Here is a 23,095-nt window from a genome sequence, read left to right as displayed (position 1 = left end):
AGCACCATTCCCAGCACATAGGAGACAATAGATGTTTGCTGAATGAATGAATGAATATGTTTGTGACTCCTCTTTATTCATCTCTATGCCCCCCCCCCCAATAATGCTAGTAATAGTTCTACCACAGCTGGTGCTCAGAACAGATCTATGGATTTGTCAAGTGAGTGGGGATGAGATTGTTTTAGTTTTAGTTTTTTTTTAAGGTTATTTATTTCAAATGAACCTTAAAGTAAACTTAAGTTCCATAAAGAGTCATATTGGGGTTTTGATTAGCGTTTCATTACTATTCACTAAAAACACTTTTTTCAAAAATGAGATATAAAAATTGGACAGGATGTAGAAAAATAGGAGATTTGGCCTATGGAGATTCAAAAAGAGTAAGAGAGAGATCTCAGCTTTAATAAGGGGATGAGACTGATTAGATGCATTTTACTTTAAAAAAAAATTGTGGATATCTATAAAATGGAACATTATCCAGGCCATGAAATGGAATGAAGTACTGATAAATGCTACAATATGGATGAACCTTGAAAACATTATGTGAGTGAAAAAAAAGCCAGATACAAAAGGTCACTGTTATATGATTACATTTATTTGAAATGTCCAGAATAGGAAAATCCACTGAGATGGAAAGTAGATGACTGGTAGTAGGGGCTGGAAGGAATAGCCAGATAGGCCAGGGACAGCTAAAGGGTACAGGGTTTCTTTGGAGGTGACTGAAGATGTTCAGAAATGGACTGGTGGTGATGGTTGCACATGTCTGTGAATATACTAAAACCCATTGTATACTTTAATTGGATGAATTGCATGGTATGTGAGTTATACCTTCATAAAGCTGTTAGAAATTTAGATAAATGTCAGAAAAGTAAAGAATACAATTTGAATCAAAAACAAGTGTGACTGTGTTTTGGGAGAGATCTTCATCTAAAATATAAAATAACTGCCTGGCTAGATTCAAAGGGTTTCTCTAGGAAAAGATTCCTTTACTTTTTATTTTTTATTATTTTTTCATTTTTAATTTTAATTTTTTGTGGGTACATAGTAGGTGTATATATTTCTGGGGTACTTGAGATGTTTTGGCATAGGCATGCAATGCATAATAATCACATCATGGAAAATGGGGTATCCATCCCCTCAAGTATTTATCCTTTGTGTTACAAACAGCCTGATTACACACCTAGTTATTTTAAAGGGTACAATTAAATTATTATTGACTATAGTCACCGTGTTGTTGAGATATCAAATACTAGGTCTTATTCATTCTTTCTATTTTTGTATTCATTAACCATCCCCACCTTCCCCCTACCCCCCTCCACTACCCTTCCCATCCTCTGGTAACTATCCCTCCACTTTCTATCTTTATGAGTTCAATTGTTTTGATTTTTAGATCCCACAAATAAGTGAGAACATGTGATGTTTGTTCTTCTATGCCTGGCTTATTTCCCTTAGCATAATGGCCCAGTTCCACCCATTTGTTGCAATGACACGGTCTCATTCTTTTTTATGGCTGAATAGTACTCCATTGTATATAAGTACCACATTTTCTTTATCCATCCATCTGTTGATGGACACCTTAGGTTGCTTCCAGATTTTAGCTATTGTGAACAGTGCTGCAACAAACATGGGAGTGCAGATATCTTTTCCATATACTGATTTCCTTTCTCTTGCATATATACTCAGCAGTGGAATTGCTGGATCATATGGTAGCTCTATTTTTAGTTTTTGAGGAACCTCCAAACTGTTCTCCATGGCAGTCATACTAATTTACATTCCCATCGGCAGTGTATGAGGGTTCTCTTTTCTCCACATTCTTGCCAGCATTTGTTATTGCCTGTCTTTTAGATATAAGCCATTTTAACTGGGGTGAGATGAGATCTTATTGTAGTTTTTATTTCTCTGATAATCAGTGATGTTGAGCACCTTTTCATATACCTGTTTGCCATTTGCATGTCTTCTTTTGAGAAATGTCTGTTTAAATCTTTTGCCCATTGCTTAATCAGATTATTAGATTTTTCTGTAAACTTGTTTGAGCTCCTTATGTATTATGTTTATTAATCACTTGTAATGTCAGTAGTTTAAAAATATTTTCCCTTCACTTTATTATATTATTATATTATATTATTTCTCTCTTCACTTTATTTATTATATCCTTTGCTCTGCAGAAGCTTTTTAACTTGATGTGAGCCCATTTGTCCATTTTGCTTTGGTTGCCTGTGCGTGTAGGGTATTGCTCAAGAAATCTTTGCCCAAACAAATGTCCTGGAAACTTTCCCTAATGTTTTCTTGTAGTAGTTTTAGAGTTTGATGTCTTAGATTTAAGTCTTTAATCTATTTTGATTTGATTTTCATATGGCAAGAAATAGGGGTCTAGTTTCATTCTTTTGCATATGGATATTCAGGTTTTCCAGCACCACTTATTGAAAGGACTGTCTTTTCCCCAGTGTATGTTCTTGGCAATTTTATCAAAAATCAGTTCAATGTCCATGTATGGATTTGTGTTGGGGTCCTCTATTCTGTTCCATTGACCTGTCTGTTTTTATGCCAGTGCCATGCTGTTTTGGTTGCTATAGCTCTGTAGTATAACTTGAAATCAAGTAGTGTGATTCCTCCAGTTTTGTTCTTTTTGCTTAGGATAGTTTTGGCTATTCTGGGTCTTTTGTGGTTCCGTAGAAATTTTAGGATGATTTTTTTGCTATTTCTGTGAAGGATATCACTGTTATTTTGATAGGGATTGCATCAAATCTGTAGATTGCTTTGGTAGTATGGACGTTTTAACAATACTGATTCTTCCAATCCAGGGACATGGAATATCTTTCCATTTTTTGGTGTCCTCTTCAATTTCCTTCATCAGTGTTTCATAGTTTTTTTATAGAGATCTTTTTCTTTGACTAAGTTGATTCCTAGATATTTGATTATATTTGTGGCTATTGTAAATGGGATTACTTTTTAAATTTCTTTTTTAGATTGTTCGCTGTTGGCATATAGAAATGCTACTGATTTTTGTATGTTGATTTTGTAATTGCAATTTTACTGAATTTGTTTACCAGTTCTAATAGTTTTTTGGTGGAGTCTTTAGGTTTTACCAATATAAGATCATATCATCTGCAAACAAGGCCAATTTGATTTCTTCTTTTTCAATTTGGATGCCATCATTTGTTTCTTTCTTTTCTTTTCTTTTCTTTTCTTTTCTTTTCTTTTTGAAATGGAGTCTTGCTTTGTCACCAGGCTGGAGTGCAGTGGCACGATCTCAGCCGCAGCCACGCGTGATCCCAGGTTCACGCCATTCTCCTGCCTCAGCCTCCCAAGTAGCTGGGGCTACAGGCGCCCGCCACCACACCTGGCTAATTTTTTTTTTGTATTTTTAGTAGAGATGGGGTTTCACTGTGTTAACCAGGATGGTCTCAATCTCCTGACCTTGTGATCCGCCTGCCTCGGCCTCCCAAAGTGCTGGGATTACAGGCATGAGCCACTGTGCTTGGCCAAAACTACAAGTTTCATTCTCTTGTCTGATTATGCTAGCTAGGACTTTCAGTACTATATTGGTTAACAGTGGTGACAGCAGGCATCCTTGTCATGTTCCAGATCTTAGGGGAAAGACTTTCAATTTTTCCTCATTTAGTATGATACTAGCTGTGGCTCTGTCATACATAGCTTTTATTATGTTGAGCTATGTTCCTTGTATACCCAGTTTTTTGAGGGTTTTTATCATGGAGAGATTGAATTTTATGAGATGTGTTTTCAGCGTTAATTGAAATGATCATATAGTTTTTGTCCTTCATTCTGCTGATACGATGTATCACATTGGTTGATTTGTGTATGTTGAACCATTCTAGCATCCACAGGATATTTCTCACTTGGTCATGATGAATGATCTTTTTAATATATTGTTGAATTCAGTTTGCTAGTGTTTTGTTGAGGATTTCTGCATCAATATTCATTAGCGATATTGGCCTGTAGTTTTCTTTTTTTGATGTGTCTTTGGTTTTGGTATCAGGGTAATACTGGCCTGGTAGAATGAGTTTGGAAGTATTCCCTCTTCCTCTATTTCCCAGAATAGTTTGAGTAGGATTGGTATTAGCTCTTCTTTAAATGTTTGGTAGAATTCAGCAGTGAGGCCATGAGGTCCAGGGCTTTTCTTTACTAGGAGTCTTTTATTACAGCTTTGATCTCATGACTTGCTATTGGTCTGTTCAGGTTTAGGATTTCCTCATGGTTCAGTCTTGGTAGGTTGTATGTGTCTAGGAATTTGTCCATTTCTTCTGGATTTTCCAATTTTTTGGCATATACTTGCTCATACTGGCCACTAATGATCCTTTGAATTTTTCCACTATCAGTTGGAATGTCTCCTTTTTCATTTCTGATTTTTTATTTATTTGGATCTTTTCTCTTTTCCCTTAGTAAGAAAAACCAACTTTTTGGTTTTTTTGTTTGCTTTTTGTTTTTTTTTTTTTGTTTTTTTATTTTTAACATAATTTTATTTTAATACACCTATATGTTTGAATATTTGAAATCTCAATCACCTTCACAGCACAATGATTCTACAAAGCATTCTTTCCTTTAGCCTCACTGTATATTTTATCAAATGACATGACTGTTCCTAATTCATAATTGGGACCTAAACCTAATGGAAAATACTATTTCATGTATTCAAAAATATTTGTGGTCTTTTTCTACTATGTATATCTGGCATTGTTCTCAGGACTGGACTCTATTAGTTTTATTATGAAAATGTTAACATTTCTCCATAGAGTTGTTTTACAAAAACACCTGTTTTTCAAAAACATTCTGGGGAACAACCTGAAAACTTTTAAATAACATTTAGAGCATGGATTTATTTTAAAAATTACCTGATCCCTTTTTTAATGCATATTGTGACTTTCTTTAATCATGAAAAGTTTTCAACATTATTTTGGCATACCTGAAAGCTTTTAACTGTCCTTAAAAACCCCAACTTTGCAATAGTAAATTATTTCATGCATCACAAAATAGTCTTATAAACCAACTTTTTGTTTCACTGATCTTTTGTATTGTTTTCTTCATTTACATTGCATTTATTTCTGCTCTGATCTTCGTTATTTCTTTTCTTCTACTGTTTTGGGTTTGGTTTGCTCTTGTTTCTCTGGTTCTTTTTTTTTTTTTTTTTTTTTTGAGACGGAGTCTCGCTGTGTCTCCCAGGTTGGAGTGCAGTGGCGCGATCTCCACTCATTGCAAGCTCCGCCTCCCAGGTTCATGCCATTCTCCTGCCTCAGCCTCCCAAGTAGCTGGGACTACAGGCGCCCGCCAACACGCCCGGCTAATTTTTTGTATTTTTAGTAGAAACGGGGTTTCACCGTGTTAGCCAAGATGGTCTCGATCTCCTGACCTCGTGATCCGCCCGTCTCGGCCTCCCAAAGTGCTAGGATTACAGGCGTGAGCCACCGCGCCCGGCCGTTTCTCTGGTTCTTTAAGATGCATTGTTAGGTTGCTTATTTGAAGTTTTTCCTCTTTTTTGCAAGAAGGGTAATAAGCCATATTTATTTTAAAACATAAATTTAAAAGTACCTACATCAATTATTATTAAATTGAACCAGCAATATATAAAATAAATAATGCATTGAGTCCAATTTCAGTTGGGTTCACACTAGAAAACCTAATTAGTATAATTCAACCACTTCAGCAAAAGGAAAGAAATAAATATTTCAATGGATGGGGGAAATGAATTTTTATTATTCCAAAATAATTCATGATTTTGAAGAACTCTTAGCAAATAAAAATTAAAATGAACTTTCTTAACCTGATAAGCAGAATCTAATGAAAGCTTACAACAGTCACCCCAAATGGCAAGAAGTTAGATCATTCCCTTTGAAGACAGGTTTTTCCTCTTTTTTGATGTAGGCACTTATAGCTATAAACTTATCTCTTAGTACTGCTTTTACTGTATCCCATAGGCTTTGGGATGTTGTGCTTCTACTATCATTTGTTTCAAGACGTTTTTCAATTCCTTCTTAATTTCTTCATTATCCACTCTTCATTCATGAGCATATTGTTTAGTTTTTATATATTTTTGTAGTTCCCCAAATTCTTCTCATTTTTTATTTCTAGCTTTATTCCATTGCAGACAGAAAAGATGCTTGATACTATTTCAGGCTTTTAAAATGTTTTATGGCTGGTTTTCTGACCTAACATATGGTCTATCCTTGAGAATGATCCATGTGCTGAGGAAAATAAAGTGTATTCTGCAGCCATTGGATGAAATGTTCTGTAAGTATCTATTAGATCCATTTAGTCTATAGTGCAGATTAAGTCTGGTGTCTCTTTCTTGGTTTTCTGTCTGGAAGATAGATCCAATGCTGAAAGTGGGTGTTGGAATCTCTGATTATTATCGTATTGGGACCTATCTCTCTCTTTCACTCTAATGGTATTTGCTTTATATATCTAGGTGCTCCAGTGTTGGGTGCATATATATTTAAAATTATTATATCCTCTTTCTGAATTGACCCCTTTATCATTATATAGTGACCTTCTTTTTCTCTTCTTATTGTTTTTGTCTTGAAATCTATTTTGTCTGATACAAGTATAGCTAGTCCTACTCTTTTTTTTTTTTGGTTTCCATTGGCATGGAATATCTTTTTCCATCCCTTTATTTTCAGTCTATTTGTGTCTTTATAAGTGCAATGTGTTTCTTGTAGGCAACAAATCATTGGGTCATTTTTTTTTTAAATAAACTCAGCCACTCTATGTCTTTTGATTGAAGAGTTTAGTCCATTTATATTCAATGTTATTATTGATGAGTAAGGACTTACTCCTTCCATTTTGTTATTTATTTTCTGGTTGTTTTGGAAAGATCCCTTTAAATTGGGCTTTCCTTTCAGCAGCAATTCATGTGAGTTTCCAGATCATTACCTACTTGATGAGGGGCTAGGGGCAGAGTAGCTTAAAGGCAGAGTATGAAGGGCAACTGCCAACTGTTGGGCAGTTGGAGATTGATCAGAATGTATGTCAGTGGGAAACTAGGATTCGATTTACACAAACCCAGCTGCCTGATGATTTCTGCACTGCCTGTAGGATATATGGGGTGTCCACATTTTCATGAGGAGGAATGAGCAAGCAGTCTAATGATGTGCCACTTATACAATTAGCAATTCAGCAAGTTCAACTTCAAATAAGCAGTTCTGAATTCTTCTTCCTACTCCAGGGGCCGTCCCCACTACTTCAGTGTCTATCAGCTTTTCTGAAAGAAGAGACACCATGGCTACAGGGAAACCATGGTGGGGCTGTGTGTGGAGGCAAGTACTGCCTAGTGTTGGATGCAGACTGCAGCTGTATCCTTTGCCCTTAGGCAGGAAGAAACTCCCACAGCATCATCCCAGCTAGAGAGTAGCTTGGATGTCACAGTCAGACAGGCAGCCCCAGCAACCTTAGGTGGTACAGCAGTTTCTGTGGGGAGATTATAAAGCCCTCTGTGGTTACGAAGGAGTTGACAAGCTATTCTGATGGCTTTCTGCCTGTTTTCCTTGGATCCTGAAGACAAGAGCAGTCCAAAGTTATTCCTGGGAAGTGAGAATCAGGCATCAGCCAAGGCTTTGTCAGATCTGGGTTTGCAGATGAGGGCTCATTCAATGTTCCTTACAATTGCAAAAAAATGGACATGTGAAAACTCACTTGTAACTTGAAGGGGCATCATTTCTAATTGGGAGATAGCCACAGAGAAACGAAGGGGCCAAAACATTGCTAGTGTGAAAAGCACATAGGCTTTGGAGTCAGATCAACCTGCAAGTCCCATTCTTTATGTCTTAGATGCATGACCTTGTCCAAGGCCTTCACCTCTGAGCCTTGATTTCCTCACGTGTAAAAGGAGATAGGAAAGAGCATCCTACAGGGGCTATTCTTCTAATTAAACAATGTCCAGTCCTCATGCCTGGATCTCCGCCACTGGCTCTCAACTCACCTTTTTCCTCCTATCTCTCTAGCATAGATTGCTGCGTTCATTTTATTGTAGAGGGACCTTGGTACTTTTAAGATTCCTGAACTGGAATTCACAAGGTCTGAGAGATGGTTTTGACCCTGTTATGACTGTGTGACCTTGGTTGAGTCCCTTTCTCTCTCAGGACCTATAAAATGCAGAGTTTGGGCTTGATGGTCTTTAAGGGTACCTTCCAACTTTGATAGGTTTCTAAACGATGTCAAGGTCAAATTCTGAATGGCCTGGTTCACTGTGCTAGAGGATGGCCCTGATCATTTGGCAAGCACAACTCTTTCCCAAGGCGACATTGCCCTTCTTACCATTGTAGTTACATGGGCCCTGCTGGAATGAGTCACATACTCTAGCTTCTTCCAGTTTCTTCCCCCCCTTGGTTAACTTGGCTTGGACATTTTGGATTCTGTCTATATGTAATTTGATTGCATTTTCCTATAGATAAGAAATATAGGTATAATAGCAAGGAGCACCTCACCCCCCACTGCTTCAAAGAGAGAGAGAGAGAGAGAGAGACCTGATCTGTCTGCCAACTTCTCTTTCCCTGTGGGTCCCTGGCCTATCCACTGCTACCTGATTTATGTCCTAGGGGAGCAGCATAGCTATGGTGAAGATTTATACCAGGTTTTCATCTTCAAATGAGCTACTACCTCTGTTCCTTGTGTATTCAAGTGCTTGGCACTCATAGCCAAGCACTTGAATTCTGGAATTCAAAATGAAAAATAGTCCCATGAGAGGCCTAAAGAGAGGCAAACAGGAAGCACTTCAGAGTGTGCTGCAGCCTTGTACAGTAAGTAGGATGCAGTCCCCAGCTCTCAGTGGAGGTGTGATATGCCCAGAGAGATTATATACAGTGATCCCTCTCCACATTAGTGCCTTGTGTAGGCATGGTACACAATGCATTAGAATTAGACAAGGCGTAGGATTTGGAGACAGGAAATATTGAATATTCCCATCTCAGCGCCTTCACTTATTAACTGTATGACCTTGAGCAAATTTCTCTTTGAGCCTCTCTGACTTCCCTGTAAAGTGAGAAGAATGCCGCCTACCTCACAGGGTTGCTGTGAAGGCAAAATGAAATACAGTTAGTACAGCTGAGTGGCTCATGAGCTTGGTCCCAGCACCCTACAACTCTGGATTTGAATCCAGACTCTACCACTTATCATGCAAGTCCGTCTGAGCCTCAGTTTTCTCATTTAGGCAATGAGTATAGACTTTTGTTCAGGATGAAATGAGATAATTCCTATAGTGTGTGGCATCTGGCATATAGTAAGCACTCATTAAATGTTAGCTAATGGTATGATTGTTATTGTTTGTCATTTAGGTAAAATTTCCAATAATTCTAGAAAAGATATTTTGTGTACTGTGCCAGATGGTTTGGCAAACTTGGTCCATATTTTATATGCTTGGGGAAAAAGCACTGGGTATTTTTTTGGTCCTGGTTTTGAAACTACAGGTAAGACATGAAACTGAGACTCTTCCAATAAAAGGATACCTGTTTCCTCATGGAAAGCAAGTTTGCGCTCACAATGGTGCTACACCTTCATGTAGACAGTTGTCTGCAGCCCACAAAACTGTTGAAGTGGTCATGATATTTCAAAAGTAGCACCTCCATCGGGAGCAGCAGTGTTAATCCAGTTATGAATATTACACCTGCCAAACAGAAAGAATCCTTTAGCCACGGGTCTCAAGCACAGCCCTGGATGTGTGGATTTGCCACAGTGACAAAGACTACTAGCAAGGTGCATGGGGACAAGAACAGCAATGGCTTAAAGCCTTTTTCATGGATTTTTGACAATGAAGTTAATTATCCAGATGTTTCATGTACTTGACCCCGGACACTCAGATCTTTGGAAACATCTGGACAATGTGGGGGTAGTTTTCATATCTTTCATCAAAACCGTTGGTTGTATTAAATTCAGCAGGTTTCATTAATCACCTGGTTTGTGCCCTGTTAGGTATTATTGATCACAAGGAAGTCACAGTTTTATTGAGAAAAATTAGACTAACAGGTTTGAAGTGACCAATGAAAAGTAGGAGAGCTGGGATATGAACATAGTTCCATCAACTCCTATGCTTGTGCTCACTTCACTCTAGCACATGGCCTCTTTTCATTTGGGGCTGGCTGAAAGGAAGTTTCAGACCAAATCCAGTGGTTCCCACCATGCCTTGACTTCAGCAGCGACCTAAGCTCCTTTGCTGAAAGCAGGTGACATATATCCAAATGGACCATTTCATGTGTCTCCATTGTCTGATCCTTTTAGTGACTTGGTGGAATATTCCCTGAGAATTATCTTGATCCTTATTTTAGCACTAGCCAAATCATTACTTGTTAGGGAGTTTTTCGTTCTCTGTGTTTTAAATGTGTAAAAATGTGAATGAAGCAGTTATATCTTGTGTTGGCAGCTTGCCATCCTTGGTCTGTGTCAGCATAAAATATTTTGGATTCCATAGAGTAGCAGCCCCTTGCGAAGCTGTGTAAAAGATACAATGAAAACCTTCCTTCTGATTTGAAACAGTGCTGAAATAGCATCATTTGTGGACCTTCCAGACCCAACGATCTGAAACATGGAAATGAAATGGGATAAAATAACTCCCAGTACACATATATATACTTACCTTGTAAATGAAACTTTTCGGCCTTTATTAACAGAAAGCAGGCCCTGTTATACCCAGAAAATTTCTAAGAGATTCCTTATTCGTTCTTTCTTTCCTTTAAGTCAAAAATACTGTATGTATATGATCAAACTGAAATGCATCACTGGAACCTACCATACAAATACAGGTGCTTGCGTTTGGAGAATTCCAAAACACATATGAAAATCATTGTCAAGTTTCAGTTGAAGAAGTCAGCCTGTACCTATGCACATTTTTTTTATAACTCAACTAGCTCCCCCACATCATGAGTGGAAAGGCTTCTCAGAAGGGAAAACAAGCCAGGTTTTATTTTATGGCCTTCAATTTTGTTTTATTTCGTTTTACTTTGTTTGTTCAATGGCAAAACATCCTTTTCACTGCTTTCTGAAAGACTAAATTGTCAAATAGGTGCTGTGGTAATGTTTTCAGAAACAATGTATCCTGCCATAGCCAAGGACAAGTTATAGACAAACCCGTTTTCCACGGAAACAAGAATCCTTCAGTGTCTAGATTGTTAATTAGATCAGCACTAGAGGGCACTCTTATGATGCCAAAATGGGAAATTTTTACTAAAATCTGCTGGGCAGGGGTGTGAGAGAGGAGATGAGGAGGGGGCAGTTTCTGTAAGGACTGCAGACCACAGACAAACAGCTTAGACAAGACATGTGCAACTGAGAATTGACTGGATCGCCAACAGATAAAACACTATTTGAAAAGGGCTGTTTGGCAGTGTTCCCTATCAGATCCACTTGGTTTCCAAAATGCAGTCGGTGCTTTGGCAATACACGATCCAGGTATAAGGCATTATTTCTCAAAATGAAAGAGATATAAGAAGCTCTGATTGTTACCATGTGATGTAGTAAAAGCACATTTAGGCAGAAAACAAAATGTGGAGAGAAGCATAGGAGAATGTGTTTACAACTTAACAGCTACTGAGAAAGAAGAATTTCAAATCCTTGGGGTCTTTTATGGTTGTTTTCCCCATCTTTTGCAGCCCTTGCTCTGTGAATTGTTCTGAAGGGTTGTGTGATTGAGTCTGGGAGAGCAGGTGCTTGCTTGTCTGCTGCCCCTAGGCAGGCTCTGATGGACACAGGGTGGATGATGTGCTGTCAAGTAAAGGGACAAATGGACTTGGTTTTGTCTCTGGCATTGATGTGCTCTGTGATCTGTGGCAAGTCCCTGCCCTCTCAAAGTCTCAGGGTCAGGGAAGAGTTGGGTGACACTAGAGGTCTCTAAAAGATCACTAGAAGACATATCCCCGAGTTTGTGATTTATGATTGCGGAAATAACTTTTGTTTTGTTTTGGTTTTAGAGACAGTGTTACTCTGTTGCCCAAGCTGGAGTGCAGTGACATGATCATGGCTCACTGCAGCCTTGAACTCCTGGGCTCAAGCCGCTCCTCCTGCCTCAGCCTCCAGAGTAGCTGGGACCACAGGCACATGACAACATGCCCAGCTATTTTTCGTATTTTTTGTAGAGATGGGGTGTCACTATGTTATCCAGGTTGGTCTTGAACTCCTGGGCTCAAGAGTTCCTCCCACCTTGGCTTCCCAAAGTGTTGGGAATACAGACATGAGCCACTGTGTTCTGCCAGAACTTCCCATATCAGTCATTTATAGCAGCCACTTGAGTTCTGAATCGAACAAGATATGGTAGGCACCCTGGGGTAGAAGGTGACTCTATGCTGTCAGTAGGATGGTACCGAAATGATTTGCCAGCACAGAGGGGCTTATTTGCCTGTATTAGTCATTGCTTTAGGTTTATGGCTCAGTCCAAATATAACCTCAGAGAGTGACCACACTAAGCCGTCAGTAGGTCCCCTCAAATTCGCTCATTATGTCCAAGTTAAGCCTGATCCCTCACTTGTGTGCTAGGCACCAGCCAGAATCTCAGGCATGCCCATGTGTCCTTCCCTGAGGAGCCAGTGTGGGGCAGGGGCTCTGGGCACTTGATGGGAAGAGTGGCACACTGAAGACAGACTTATCTACTCTGACTTTGGCCCCAGTGTTTGCTAGAGAAATGCATGAGTGTTTTTGTTTAAGTCTCTGCTTGTAAGAACCCAGGCTATCCTTCATAGGAATGTTCCTGATTGAGTCAAATTCATTATAAAGTCTTAGAATGTTATTGGCCGGGCACGGTGGCTTATGCCTGTAATCCCAACACTTTGGGAGGCTGAGGCAGGTGGATAACTTGAGGTCAGGAGTTTGAGACCAGACCAGCCTGGCCAATATGGCAAAACCTTATCTCTACTAAAAATACAAAAAATTAGCCGGGTGTGGTGGCAGGCACCTGTAGTCCCAGCTACTCAGGAGGCTGAGGCAGGAGAATCGCTTGATCCTGGGAGGCAGAGGTTGCAGTGAGCTGAGATCATGCCGCTGCACAGCCTGGGCAACAGAGGGAGACTCCCTCTAAAAAAAAAATGTTATCATGAACAGGGACCTTTGGGAAATCAGCTAGTCCAACACCATCACTGTAGAGATAGGGAAACGGGGAGCCATCTTCATTTGGGAATGGGGTTGCCTAGGGTTTCACAGCCAGTTAATGGCAGAGCTGGCATTGGGGTATCAGTTTTTTATTTCTATTCCAGGCCTCTTTCTGTTACCTTGTGCTATATTTTTCTCTCTCCTGCAATGTCCATTCTAGGGAATAAGTGACCAATGGCTCTGAACCTAAGGGTTTTTGACATAGCTAGAATAGCTCCGTGTTTATGGATTGTGTCATTTAAGGTAGTACAAGTGGAAAGATATGAGGACACATCCCTATCAAAAATATGTCCTGTTTAAATGTCATAGGACTGGAGATCAAACCAATATAGGATCATTCCTCTGGATCTAGAAGGCTCTGAAGTCTTGAGATGCTCTTGCCCAAAAGCAAGGATCAGGTTGGAATCCTTGTCAGCTGGCAGGGAACGAAAGGATGGGAGGGTAGGTCTGGAAACCAGGTTTAGTATCTCGGGGGAGGGCAGACACTGTGAAAAGAGCAGTCAAGACAACCTCAGGGAACTTCACAGTTGTGCCAAAGGCTATTCCTTGGGAGGTTAAAACAAATACTCAAAGAATACATATTTGAAAGAATATTCTGGGTTCCAGTATTCTCATGCCAAACATAAGGAGCTCCCTCTCATGAGGTATGCATGATTTCCAGTGGACTTGGCATGGAACAAGGAGGAATTAAGAGCGGTCAAACAGTAGAACACAGATGCAGGGGACAACCCTCTCCCATATCAGTGATGTGGTTACTTTCCGCATGGCCTTTAACTGCACGTGTCTTTGAGCTCTGCTTTTGAAAAGCTGGTTCCTTTCCCAGGGCAACAAGATGGCTCAGGTACAGGGGGCTGCGAGCTGTGTGGCAGGCCTGCCGCAGACTCACTATGCCTCTAGACAATTCTCTGATTGGTCTTCCTCCCTAGGTGACAGTAATAATGCCTAAAACGTATTGTATGATGACTGTGGACCTGACATTCTGCTACATGATTTACAGGCATGATCACATCTAATCCTCCCAAGTACTTTAGGAACTACCCTTCTAGACTGAAACACATGGGCCTACCTACCCATGTCGTTTGCTGTTGGTTTCTCCTCTGATAGGGCTGTCTTTTCTTCTGATTGGTCAGTTCCGATACCATATCTGTTGTTAAAGATGGTGATCATCACCAGTGTAGGCATTATACTTGTCCCCACTTTGTTTTTTGCTGTTTTTTTTGTTTTGTTTTGCTTTGTTGAGACAGAGTCTCACCCTGTCACCTAGGCTGCAGTGCAGTGGCATAATCTCGGCTTACTGCAACCTCCTCCTCCCGGGTTCAAGTGATTCTCCTGCCTCAGCCTCCTTTGTAGCTGGGAATACAGGCGCCTGCCACCACGCCAGGCTAATTTTTGTATTTTTAGTAGAGACGAGGTTTCTCCATGTTGGCCAGGCTGATCTCGAACTCCTGACCTCAGGTGATCCATCTGCTCCGCCTCCCAAAGTGCTGGGATTACAGGCGTGAGCTACCATGCCCCACCTTGTCCCCATTTTCTAGGTGAGGAAATCAGGGCTGAGAGATTAAGTTGCCTTTTCAGTGTCATGCAGTTGGTAAGTGAAAGAGCTTTAGGACCAGATTCCAGTCTGTGTGACTAATGGACTTATTTCATGGTCCCACACCACCTCTCAGGACTGTGCATAAGCAAAAGGCTGAGGTCAAGCATTTTAACACTTTGCAAGTAAAAAAGACCAGCAGCTTGTTTTGCATAGGGCCTTAAGAAACACCCAGGCCCTTTGCCTGGCTCCTCCATTCACCTCCACCAGTTTGAGCAACAGTCCTTAGCCTGGGACTTTGGGGGCACCACACCCCTTTCCATTTAGGGAAATAAAATTTAGCATGTATTAACATAAGGCATTTTTTGCTAGGATATACTACTGTATTTGGCCTTCAGAGATCAAATGAGGAAGGTGGCTTGAGATACAAAAGGAAGTGGTGGGTTTCTGAGCAGCAATAGAGTAGGTGAAGACCAGAATGATGGTGGAAGGGCATTCTACATGGGAGAACGTGGAAATTCTAAAACACGTCAGCTCTTGGTGTGGCAGTTAAAGGGAGGGTGAGCACACCAGTTCAGTGTCAGAAAGCAGAGAGGTTGAATGGACCATTTGCTTGGCAGCTCTGGAACAGTGGTAGGCAGTTATTTATCATAGAGTGTACTATCTGCTGCAGATTTGCAATCTGACCCAAACAGTGTTGGTGTGGGTTTCTTAACAACTTCCTTCTCTCTAGCTGTTATATGGAAGTGTGTGGCTGTGGAGGTCTCTGCTGTTGAACAGCCATCACCAATATCCCAGGCTCCTGGCAGATGAAGAACCTGCATGAACAGAAAGAGAAATGTGGAGGGTGGTGGCGGTGCAAGAGGGTCAATTGTTCATCAATTCGATTTTTCTTGTTTTTCTCAATTAAGTTTCCTTCTATAATTTTTCCATCATAAAGAATCTGCCACTCTATGTTTCAAATTAACAAAGCTGTTTCTCTGGACAGAATGATGTTCAGCTGCATTTAAATTTGGCCATTATGATTTTGGACATACTCTCATTTACTCATAAACTCTTCGAAGGCTGTGCTCTGGGCTCTGTGAACTACTAATAGCATGTTGTACTGAGAAAATGACTAGGGATTGGTATACTTCTAAGTAACATCAAGGGAAAGCTATTAGAGAATGAAAGAATATTGGAACTGGGGGAATTTTAGAAACCATCTTGTCAAGCTCGTTCATGTCATACAGCCCACTGGGAGAGTGGAGAAGAGAATTTGCCCAAGATCAAATGAGTCATTGGTAAAACCTGGATTAAAAACCAGGGATCCTGATTCTCAGTCAAGGGCTCTTGGATTTTTACCTCATCCTGGGTTTTCCAAGTCTTAATTTGGATCCTTCATACAAAAGTGAATCGTTTCACTTTCATTTCTCAAGCCCTAAGCACCCACCCTGAGAATGTAAATGCCAAGCATAAGTGTCATGGTCTGAGGTTCCTGATTAGGATGAATCCACATCTGGAGCTTTTGGATTCCCAAGTCTCCCGCTATTCCCATTACTCCAGTGCTATATATGTGTTCTCTTCATTTTCATCTTTTGCCTTCCCTGCTTATTGGATGCTTAGTCAGTTGCCTAAGTACCATTTGAGTGACATTTAGTCACATCTTCTGGAACCTGGCTCAGAGGAAGGTTATTCCTATGGCTTTTTCTCCAGCCAGTGTCTGGGTCATGGGCATGGTAACCACAGCTCCTTTTGTCCTTCCAGTGCTGCTGCTTTCCCAGGATGTGGCTTGCTGAGGGCTGATGAATCCCATCTTAGAGTGTCAGCCAGGCCAGCTGTTAAAGAACATGACAGCAACAAATGAGAAAGACTCTGTTGGGATGTGGGACTACAGTATTATGAAACTGCCACTTAGAGGCTTCCTGTTTTTACAGTATTTCAAGGTGCAAGCAAGTGGCATTCTCTGGGCAGCAAATGGCCCAGCTGAAAAGAAACCTGATTTACAGCCTGTTGGGAGGGCTTTCCACAAGGAGAAATTATGAATTTGTAACGTCCCTTCCAATCCAAAAGAGAATTCTTTCTAATGCAAATGTTTAATCTGATGCCATCGAGTATGTTCTCCATACATAAACAAAGGCATAAATAAAACAGGGAGAAACTCTTTCCTAGAATTGATAATATACAGTATATTTCTGTAGAACTCTTTTCCAAGCAGATGGCCTAAAAATATTCCACAAGATTGTAAACTCTGTAGAGTCAGGGATTTTTGTCTGTTTTATTCACTACTCAGTACCTCTAACCTCAGTACCTCTAACAATGGCTAGCACATAATAGATAATAAATATTTTTTAATAAAACATCATGATTAAAGGGCCTTTTTAAAGGATTTCATTAAACAACCTTCCCAAAGAGAGTGTGTGTGTGTATGCATAAAATGGGTTCTTAAAATTAATTCATTCTCTTCTAATTAGTATGTATCTTTTGTTTTACCTTTTCCCTATGAACTTTGGCTCACTTCTGATGACTGGCCACCCTTTTGATTGATGCACCTGTAACGTCTTCATGGATCGTCACTCAATACTCCACCTCTTCCCACCTGGGCTCCCAGGTAAGGCAATGAGCTTCCAAAAGTCTTCTCAGTGCAATCACCAGGCAAATTTTATAAGGCAGTCAAGAAGTTTACCTAGAAATAAAAAAACTCAAGAGACAATAATAGTGATTAAAGTTAAATTTGATCCCGTTCCCATATAAATCAATTATTTATACACTTAACATCATTTGAGAATTTCTGTTAGTACAGTGAAATAAAAATTATGGCTTTGGAAACTGCTGCATACTTAACTTTGGAATTTTCTGATCCTAGGAATCAATATATGGCTTTATGTTTTCCTTCTAAAAATATTTTCTTGTGTGTGTGTGTGTGTGTGTGTGTGTGTTTTGTCTTTTCACCCAAAGTTGTGTTGTTTTTGTTCACAAGGCCAAATTTTGTGGAAGGGATCATAGCCTCTCTTCACTGTGTAGGGACTCTAAATCATGGGGTAGGTCAGTACATTGTAGATTACTTATTTCTTGCGGCTGGAGTAGAAGACGAGCACATTGGGCTCTGGATGGTAAGTCCACTAATAGGAGTGTCTTGTCTAACAGATTTGATGTTAGGCCTCACCAAGTATATCGCTTTTGTTTCTCATGACATTTGCTTCCCCAGCAGTCTTAACAGCTCAGAAACAGGGAAAGGGGGCTTAACCGCACCAGAGACTGATAATAAAAGAGCCATGTATTGCTTCTCAAATGATGATTCAAAGGCTCTGCTGCTAGCCATGCTATTAAAAAAGGCTCTCTTAACTCACTTCTAAGGCCTGCAAAGCGTATTTGCTGTAAAGAAACATTTCTCCCAAGAAAATGCACAGGCTATATAGCCCACTTCGGGCATAAAAGAAGTGTTGCTACATTGTAAAATTCCTTGTTCTGGCATAATAAAAAACAAAAGGCTAACTGAGCCCATTTGAACCCTCAAATTAGCAACTGACCTGTGTATAACTTCACAGTCTCCGCCTGCTAATAATATCAGTAATTCACACAGTGGAATGAGTGTTTTGTGACCCTTAAGACATACATTATAAAAACAGCTGAGCATGTTTTTTGAATGGGGAGACATTGCTTACTTTGATGGATGTCTTGTGTTTGGGTGGAAGGGACTAGAGAGATGATTTATATATCACCTTATGTGTGCTTTGAATTTTCATCTTTTTAAAGAGCATCAGTAAAGTTTAATTGTTCTTTATTTTCCTTTTGTTATTTGTGTTTCGTATATTCCTGATAATATGAAAAATCCCTGCCAATTCCTCCTAGGACCTTTCAATCAGTCATTTCCATTTCAGTGATGCCACAGGGTTGGGTTTGGTTTGGGTTTTGTTTTATTGGCTTTTGTTTTTTTACCTAGATTCCCATTGCTCTCTGTGAAGGGGAATGGAATTAGCATGAGTGAGTGGTAGATCCATCATTCCCAGACCACAGCACTCCAGGGATCTGGCTCTCAGTGCAGCCTTGCCCCTTTTAGCCTTCTGATTGGGAATCTCCCCATTACTTGAGAGGAGCCAGTGGGGAACAAAGTGGAGAAGCCATCTATGAGCTGTTTCCCTAAGGTTTGGGAAGCTGGAGAAATATGCTCTTAAAGCACAATGGAAAACTTTTATTATTTTATCTCCTCTCCTACCAAGCTCTTGCTAGCGACTGGTTTTACTGTTCCTTTAACAGGTGGAGGATTTTTCAGATTCTAGATGCAGCAAGGTAAGTAACAATGTATTTTTAGTTTGACTGAACCCAAGTAAGCTAGAAAAAAGAGACTCTGCAGTTGCCTGTCCGTTTAATTTCAGTACAACAAATAGTTAAGTTTTTGGCTTGGACAAATTCTTTCCAGGGCTTTTTTTTTTTTTTTTTTTTTTTTTTTTTAGTTTAAAACAGCTGAAACTACCCAGGCTTGGAGTCTCAGTTCTGAAGGCTGACTTAGTTCAGAAGGGGGATGAATGTTCAGGGCGACCACCCCAGACAGGTGTGCAGTAGGTCATTAGCTCTTTTTCCTCTTTTTGCTGAAATAGGATGACACAGTAGAGTGTGTTGTTGAGAAGACCCCAACCGTTGGCAAAGTGTTCTTTACAGTGCTTCAGGCACGTCTGCCTGTCCCTAGGCTGGATTGTGATTTAGAGAACAAGTAGGTCAGCATTTCCTTGAAGGGAAATCAATTATTTGAAAATATCAGGGCTTTTAACGTATGTAAATACGTAGACTTGCATATTTACAAGTAATCCCATAGGCCAGAGGCCTTTTTGACATGAAGCCTGCAGGAGAGCAAATCTAATCAAATACAAGAAAGTTCCTCTCTGTGGGGAAGACGGACGCTGAGAATGCTCCCAGATGATGCCCCTGCAGGCAACAACTGTTGCTAAGAGCTGTACCATCATATTGCCACCAGAACCGGAGAGTCTAGCAAGAACCATAAGTCATTTTGGAAATGTGTGCTCTAGTCGCTTGGCACATTGTTTTCTAAGGTCATGATGCTCACCAGTACTGTCTTTGGCTTTTTGTAGGCTTATTGGCTCCAGAAATATTTACTAGTGCCTCTGTTTTTTCTTAATACCCACCTACAATCCACCCTGTGCTCCCTGGCCAAATAGGTTAGCAAGAGCAAAGACTGTAGCTCTGGCATTTCTCCACAAGGACAGACTCCCATTAAAATAGACTACTTGAGCCATTTTGGGGATGCCCAGTTTAGCTTTCTGTAGCTGGGCTTCCATACTCCCATTAGAGCCTCAATGGATTTACTTGACAGCTGAGAATAGTAAATTTAGTGTTTAATTTTGTAGTCAGATTATAATTTATTGAGCTAAATGGCACAGACACACATAGACACCTAATCACACAGTATTAGTATGGGAGAACATTTAAATATCATAGATTGGGTGTGTCATGGAGGCAAAGTACCAAGTTCTGTTACTAATGAGGTGACTTTTGTCAAGCACTAGCTCCACTCTGAGCCTTAATTTCCTCGCCTGTAAAATAAAATGGAGCGGATGACCATTAAGACAATGGTCAATAACATAGGTACCACTATCCCTATAATAGCTTTTATGGGGAAGTCTTGAGAATTTTGTTTTCTTTTTGCTTTAAAATTGCTAGATGATAGGACCATCTCTTTAAAACAGTTTTGCTGTATAACAAAGCAAATCCTGACACACTCTTTATTTTTACTATGGTGTTGATTAGTTGGACCAGATTATTGCCAGAGCAACTAATACCTGGTCTTAATGAGAGAAAACAAGAGGAGTACAGATGGTGAGATGGGAAAGAAACGGTTTTGGTAAATATCAATGGGGCCCTTTTTGAATTTTGGTGAGCTGAATGATGTATGAAAACTATTTGCAAGGCTAGCATATTTTTCAACCACTAGTAAAGCAATAAAACAAATAACATTTTTGGTAATCCCCATTGTATATGCAGTTTCATAAATATACAAGATTATGATTATCGCTGCCTCATAATTAACAATTTGCATAAGTACTTGCTATTTTTTAGTTGTCTGAATAGATTTTTGTAATCCAGAGAAAGAAGGGAACAATCAGTGGAAGCCATCCCAAATGCCTAGTATTATTGCTACACACTTGCACAATTAACAGCGATACTAATTGCTTCAGACCAGAACCTCATTTGTTTTTCTAAGGACAGCAAAAACATTAATAGCCAGAGTGCCTGTCAATCTCTCTCTCTTTTTCCTATAGCCAACTGTATCATAGGGTCTGCAGTTGACTGTAAGCAAATTATTTTGTTGGATTTTCAGTGTATCATCTTGTAATGGAGTTTCCAAGTTTCAGTTAGCAATCAATGCCTTGAACAGCCAGACTTATTTTTATAATATTTTAACAATAGACCTCTATAAAGTTAATGAATAAAAGGATGCTGACATGCCAATCAGTTCTGCTGCTGCATTTACATTCTACTACATATTTCATATCTTTAAAATTATTGGCATTAGACCTGCATATAAGAATCATAGAAAGTCCAGGCTGGAGGGGAGCTTTAAGATCATCCCGTCACACTCCCTCCTTTTTCAGATGAGTATGATTGTCAGTAATTTGAATCTTGATAACAACCACCAAATCAATGATGCCACACTTTTTTTTTTTTGTACCTTTCAAACGTTGGGAACTATTATAGTAAGTTTGAATGATAACTGGTTGTTTGGGAATCATATAGTTTCAACTTATTTTCAAAACAACTGAATCAGAATTTTAAAAATATGCCCTCATAAGGCTTACCTAAACATAGCCATAATGTTGATGGTATATGTGTGAAAGGAGATGTTCTATGCAAATCACCTGGCAATGAGACACTCAACCAATATCAGCTCTCTTTCCTTCATGCATAGATTACCTAATTAACATTACTATAGTGGAAACATTACATCAGTGACTGACAGTCTAGGCGTTTAGAGTCAAACTGACCTCGGGTCCAATCCTGGCGCTGCTACTTTCCAGCTGTGTGACGTTGGGTAATTTAGTTCATCTCTGTTGGCTTCAGGTAGTTTTCTTATATGTGAAATGTAGCCAGTATATAGGCTTGTTTTGAGGATTAAAATGAGATCGTGCATATCAAGTGCTTAGCACTGTTCCTGTCACATAGTAAACAGTCGATAATGGTGGTTATTACCATCGTTTTTTGGCATACCCAGCGGCAGCCTCACTCAATAGTATATTTAATCTTACAGTGATTTGGGGTACTTACACATACACCTGTACACATGCATATTTGGGCACACAAGTTCATAAGATTTGCATCAGAAAGACTGCTTTCCCAAAGGTTACCTGTGACCACCATGTTTCACAATTCAATGGCCTCTTCCCTGGCCTCAGTCTTCTTGACCTCTTTGGAGATTCTGGCACTTTTGCACATATTCTCTTGCTTGAAAGGGTTCATAATCTATCTTGATGTCTTCTCTACATTCCTTAGGTTTCCTTTGTTGGGATCTCTTTTCCACACGTACACACACACACACACACACACACACACGCGTGCCCACATCTTCTCCCTCCCCCACTGCCCCTTTAAATAGAGCAATTCCCAAGGTCCTGTCATTGATCTGCTTCTCTTCTGTTGCTATATTTTCTCCCTGGGTAACTTCACCTCCTCACATAGCTTCACCTTTAACCTCTACACTAATGATTCCCAAATTGACCTCTCCAACCCTTAATTCATTCCGGAGCCCCAGGCTAACTCCAATTTCCAATTGCCTGCTGAGAATCTCCAGGGCAGGATGTCCTAGGAGACTGAAAGCGTAGTCTGGCTTTTGTCATCCTTCTCAGGAATGCAGATGGAGGAATCTAGCTTCAGAAGTATTAAGGGTTGAAAACAAGGCACAAGTATGGAGCATTAGTCTGAGCAGAAGTAACAGTGGTCTAAGTTAGCAAAGTGCTTCAAACTGAGCTTTCCAGGGGAGGCATAACAGATAAACTGTGAATTTCTGTTATTATGCACTGGAGATGTCAATTGGCAGTTGGAACTTTAAAAGGTTTATATTTTCTAGGGATAAGGGAACAGCTTCCTAAGATGAAAATTGAGTTCAGTTTTTAGGTGCTGGAAGATTGGCATGTTTGGAAGAAGTGTTAATTAAAATCATCTTTCTTTTCTTTTCTTTTTTTTTGAGACGAGTTTTTTTCGCTCTTGTTACCCAGACTGGAGTTCAATGGCGCGATCTCAGTTCACTGCAACCTCCGCCTCCTGGGTTCAAGCAATTCTCCTGCCTCAGCCTCCCAAGTAGCTGGGATTTCAGGCATGTGCCACCACACCTGGCTAATTTTGTATTTTTAGTAGAGACAGAGTTTCACTATGTTGGTCAGGCTGGTCTTGGACTCCTGACCTCAGGTGATCCACCCACCTTGGCCTCCCAAAGTACTGGGATTACCGGCGTGAGCCACCATGCCTGGCCAAAATCGTCTTTCTTTGGACACTTATTATCAT

General features: G+C 40.0%; 1 protein-coding gene across 9 annotated transcripts in view, besides 1 other annotated feature; it reads left to right on the top strand.

Moving 5' to 3' along the window:
• Positions 1-23,095, top strand: part of HS6ST2 (heparan sulfate 6-O-sulfotransferase 2) — a 335,356-nt gene that overhangs the window by 234,035 nt on the left and 78,226 nt on the right. For 6 of the 9 annotated variants that reach the window (XM_047442618.1, NM_001077188.2, NM_001394073.1 and 3 more), the window contains one exon: positions 18,842-18,874. The exons of the other annotated variants lie outside the window; for them this stretch is intronic. In XM_047442618.1, the coding sequence (XP_047298574.1) occupies positions 18,842-18,874 (33 nt within the window). The remainder of the gene's footprint in view (positions 1-18,841; positions 18,875-23,095) is intronic. 9 annotated transcript variants of the gene reach the window in all.
• Positions 15,792-16,991: an enhancer, noted in NCBI's record as "BRD4-independent group 4 enhancer chrX:131844373-131845572 (GRCh37/hg19 assembly coordinates)". NCBI's record gives its function as "activates an origin of replication core promoter dependent on BRD2, P300/CBP, MED14 and CDK7 cofactors, and independent of BRD4, by STARR-seq in HCT116 cells {active_cell/tissue: HCT116}" and the evidence as "EXISTENCE:reporter gene assay evidence [ECO:0000049][PMID:35650434]".

This window comes from Homo sapiens, chromosome X (genome assembly GCF_000001405.40).
Source record: "Homo sapiens chromosome X, GRCh38.p14 Primary Assembly".
NCBI classification, from domain to species: domain Eukaryota; kingdom Metazoa; phylum Chordata; class Mammalia; order Primates; family Hominidae; genus Homo; species Homo sapiens.
Note: the sequence above shows the minus strand (reverse complement) of the source record. Positions and strands in the feature narration are given on the sequence as shown.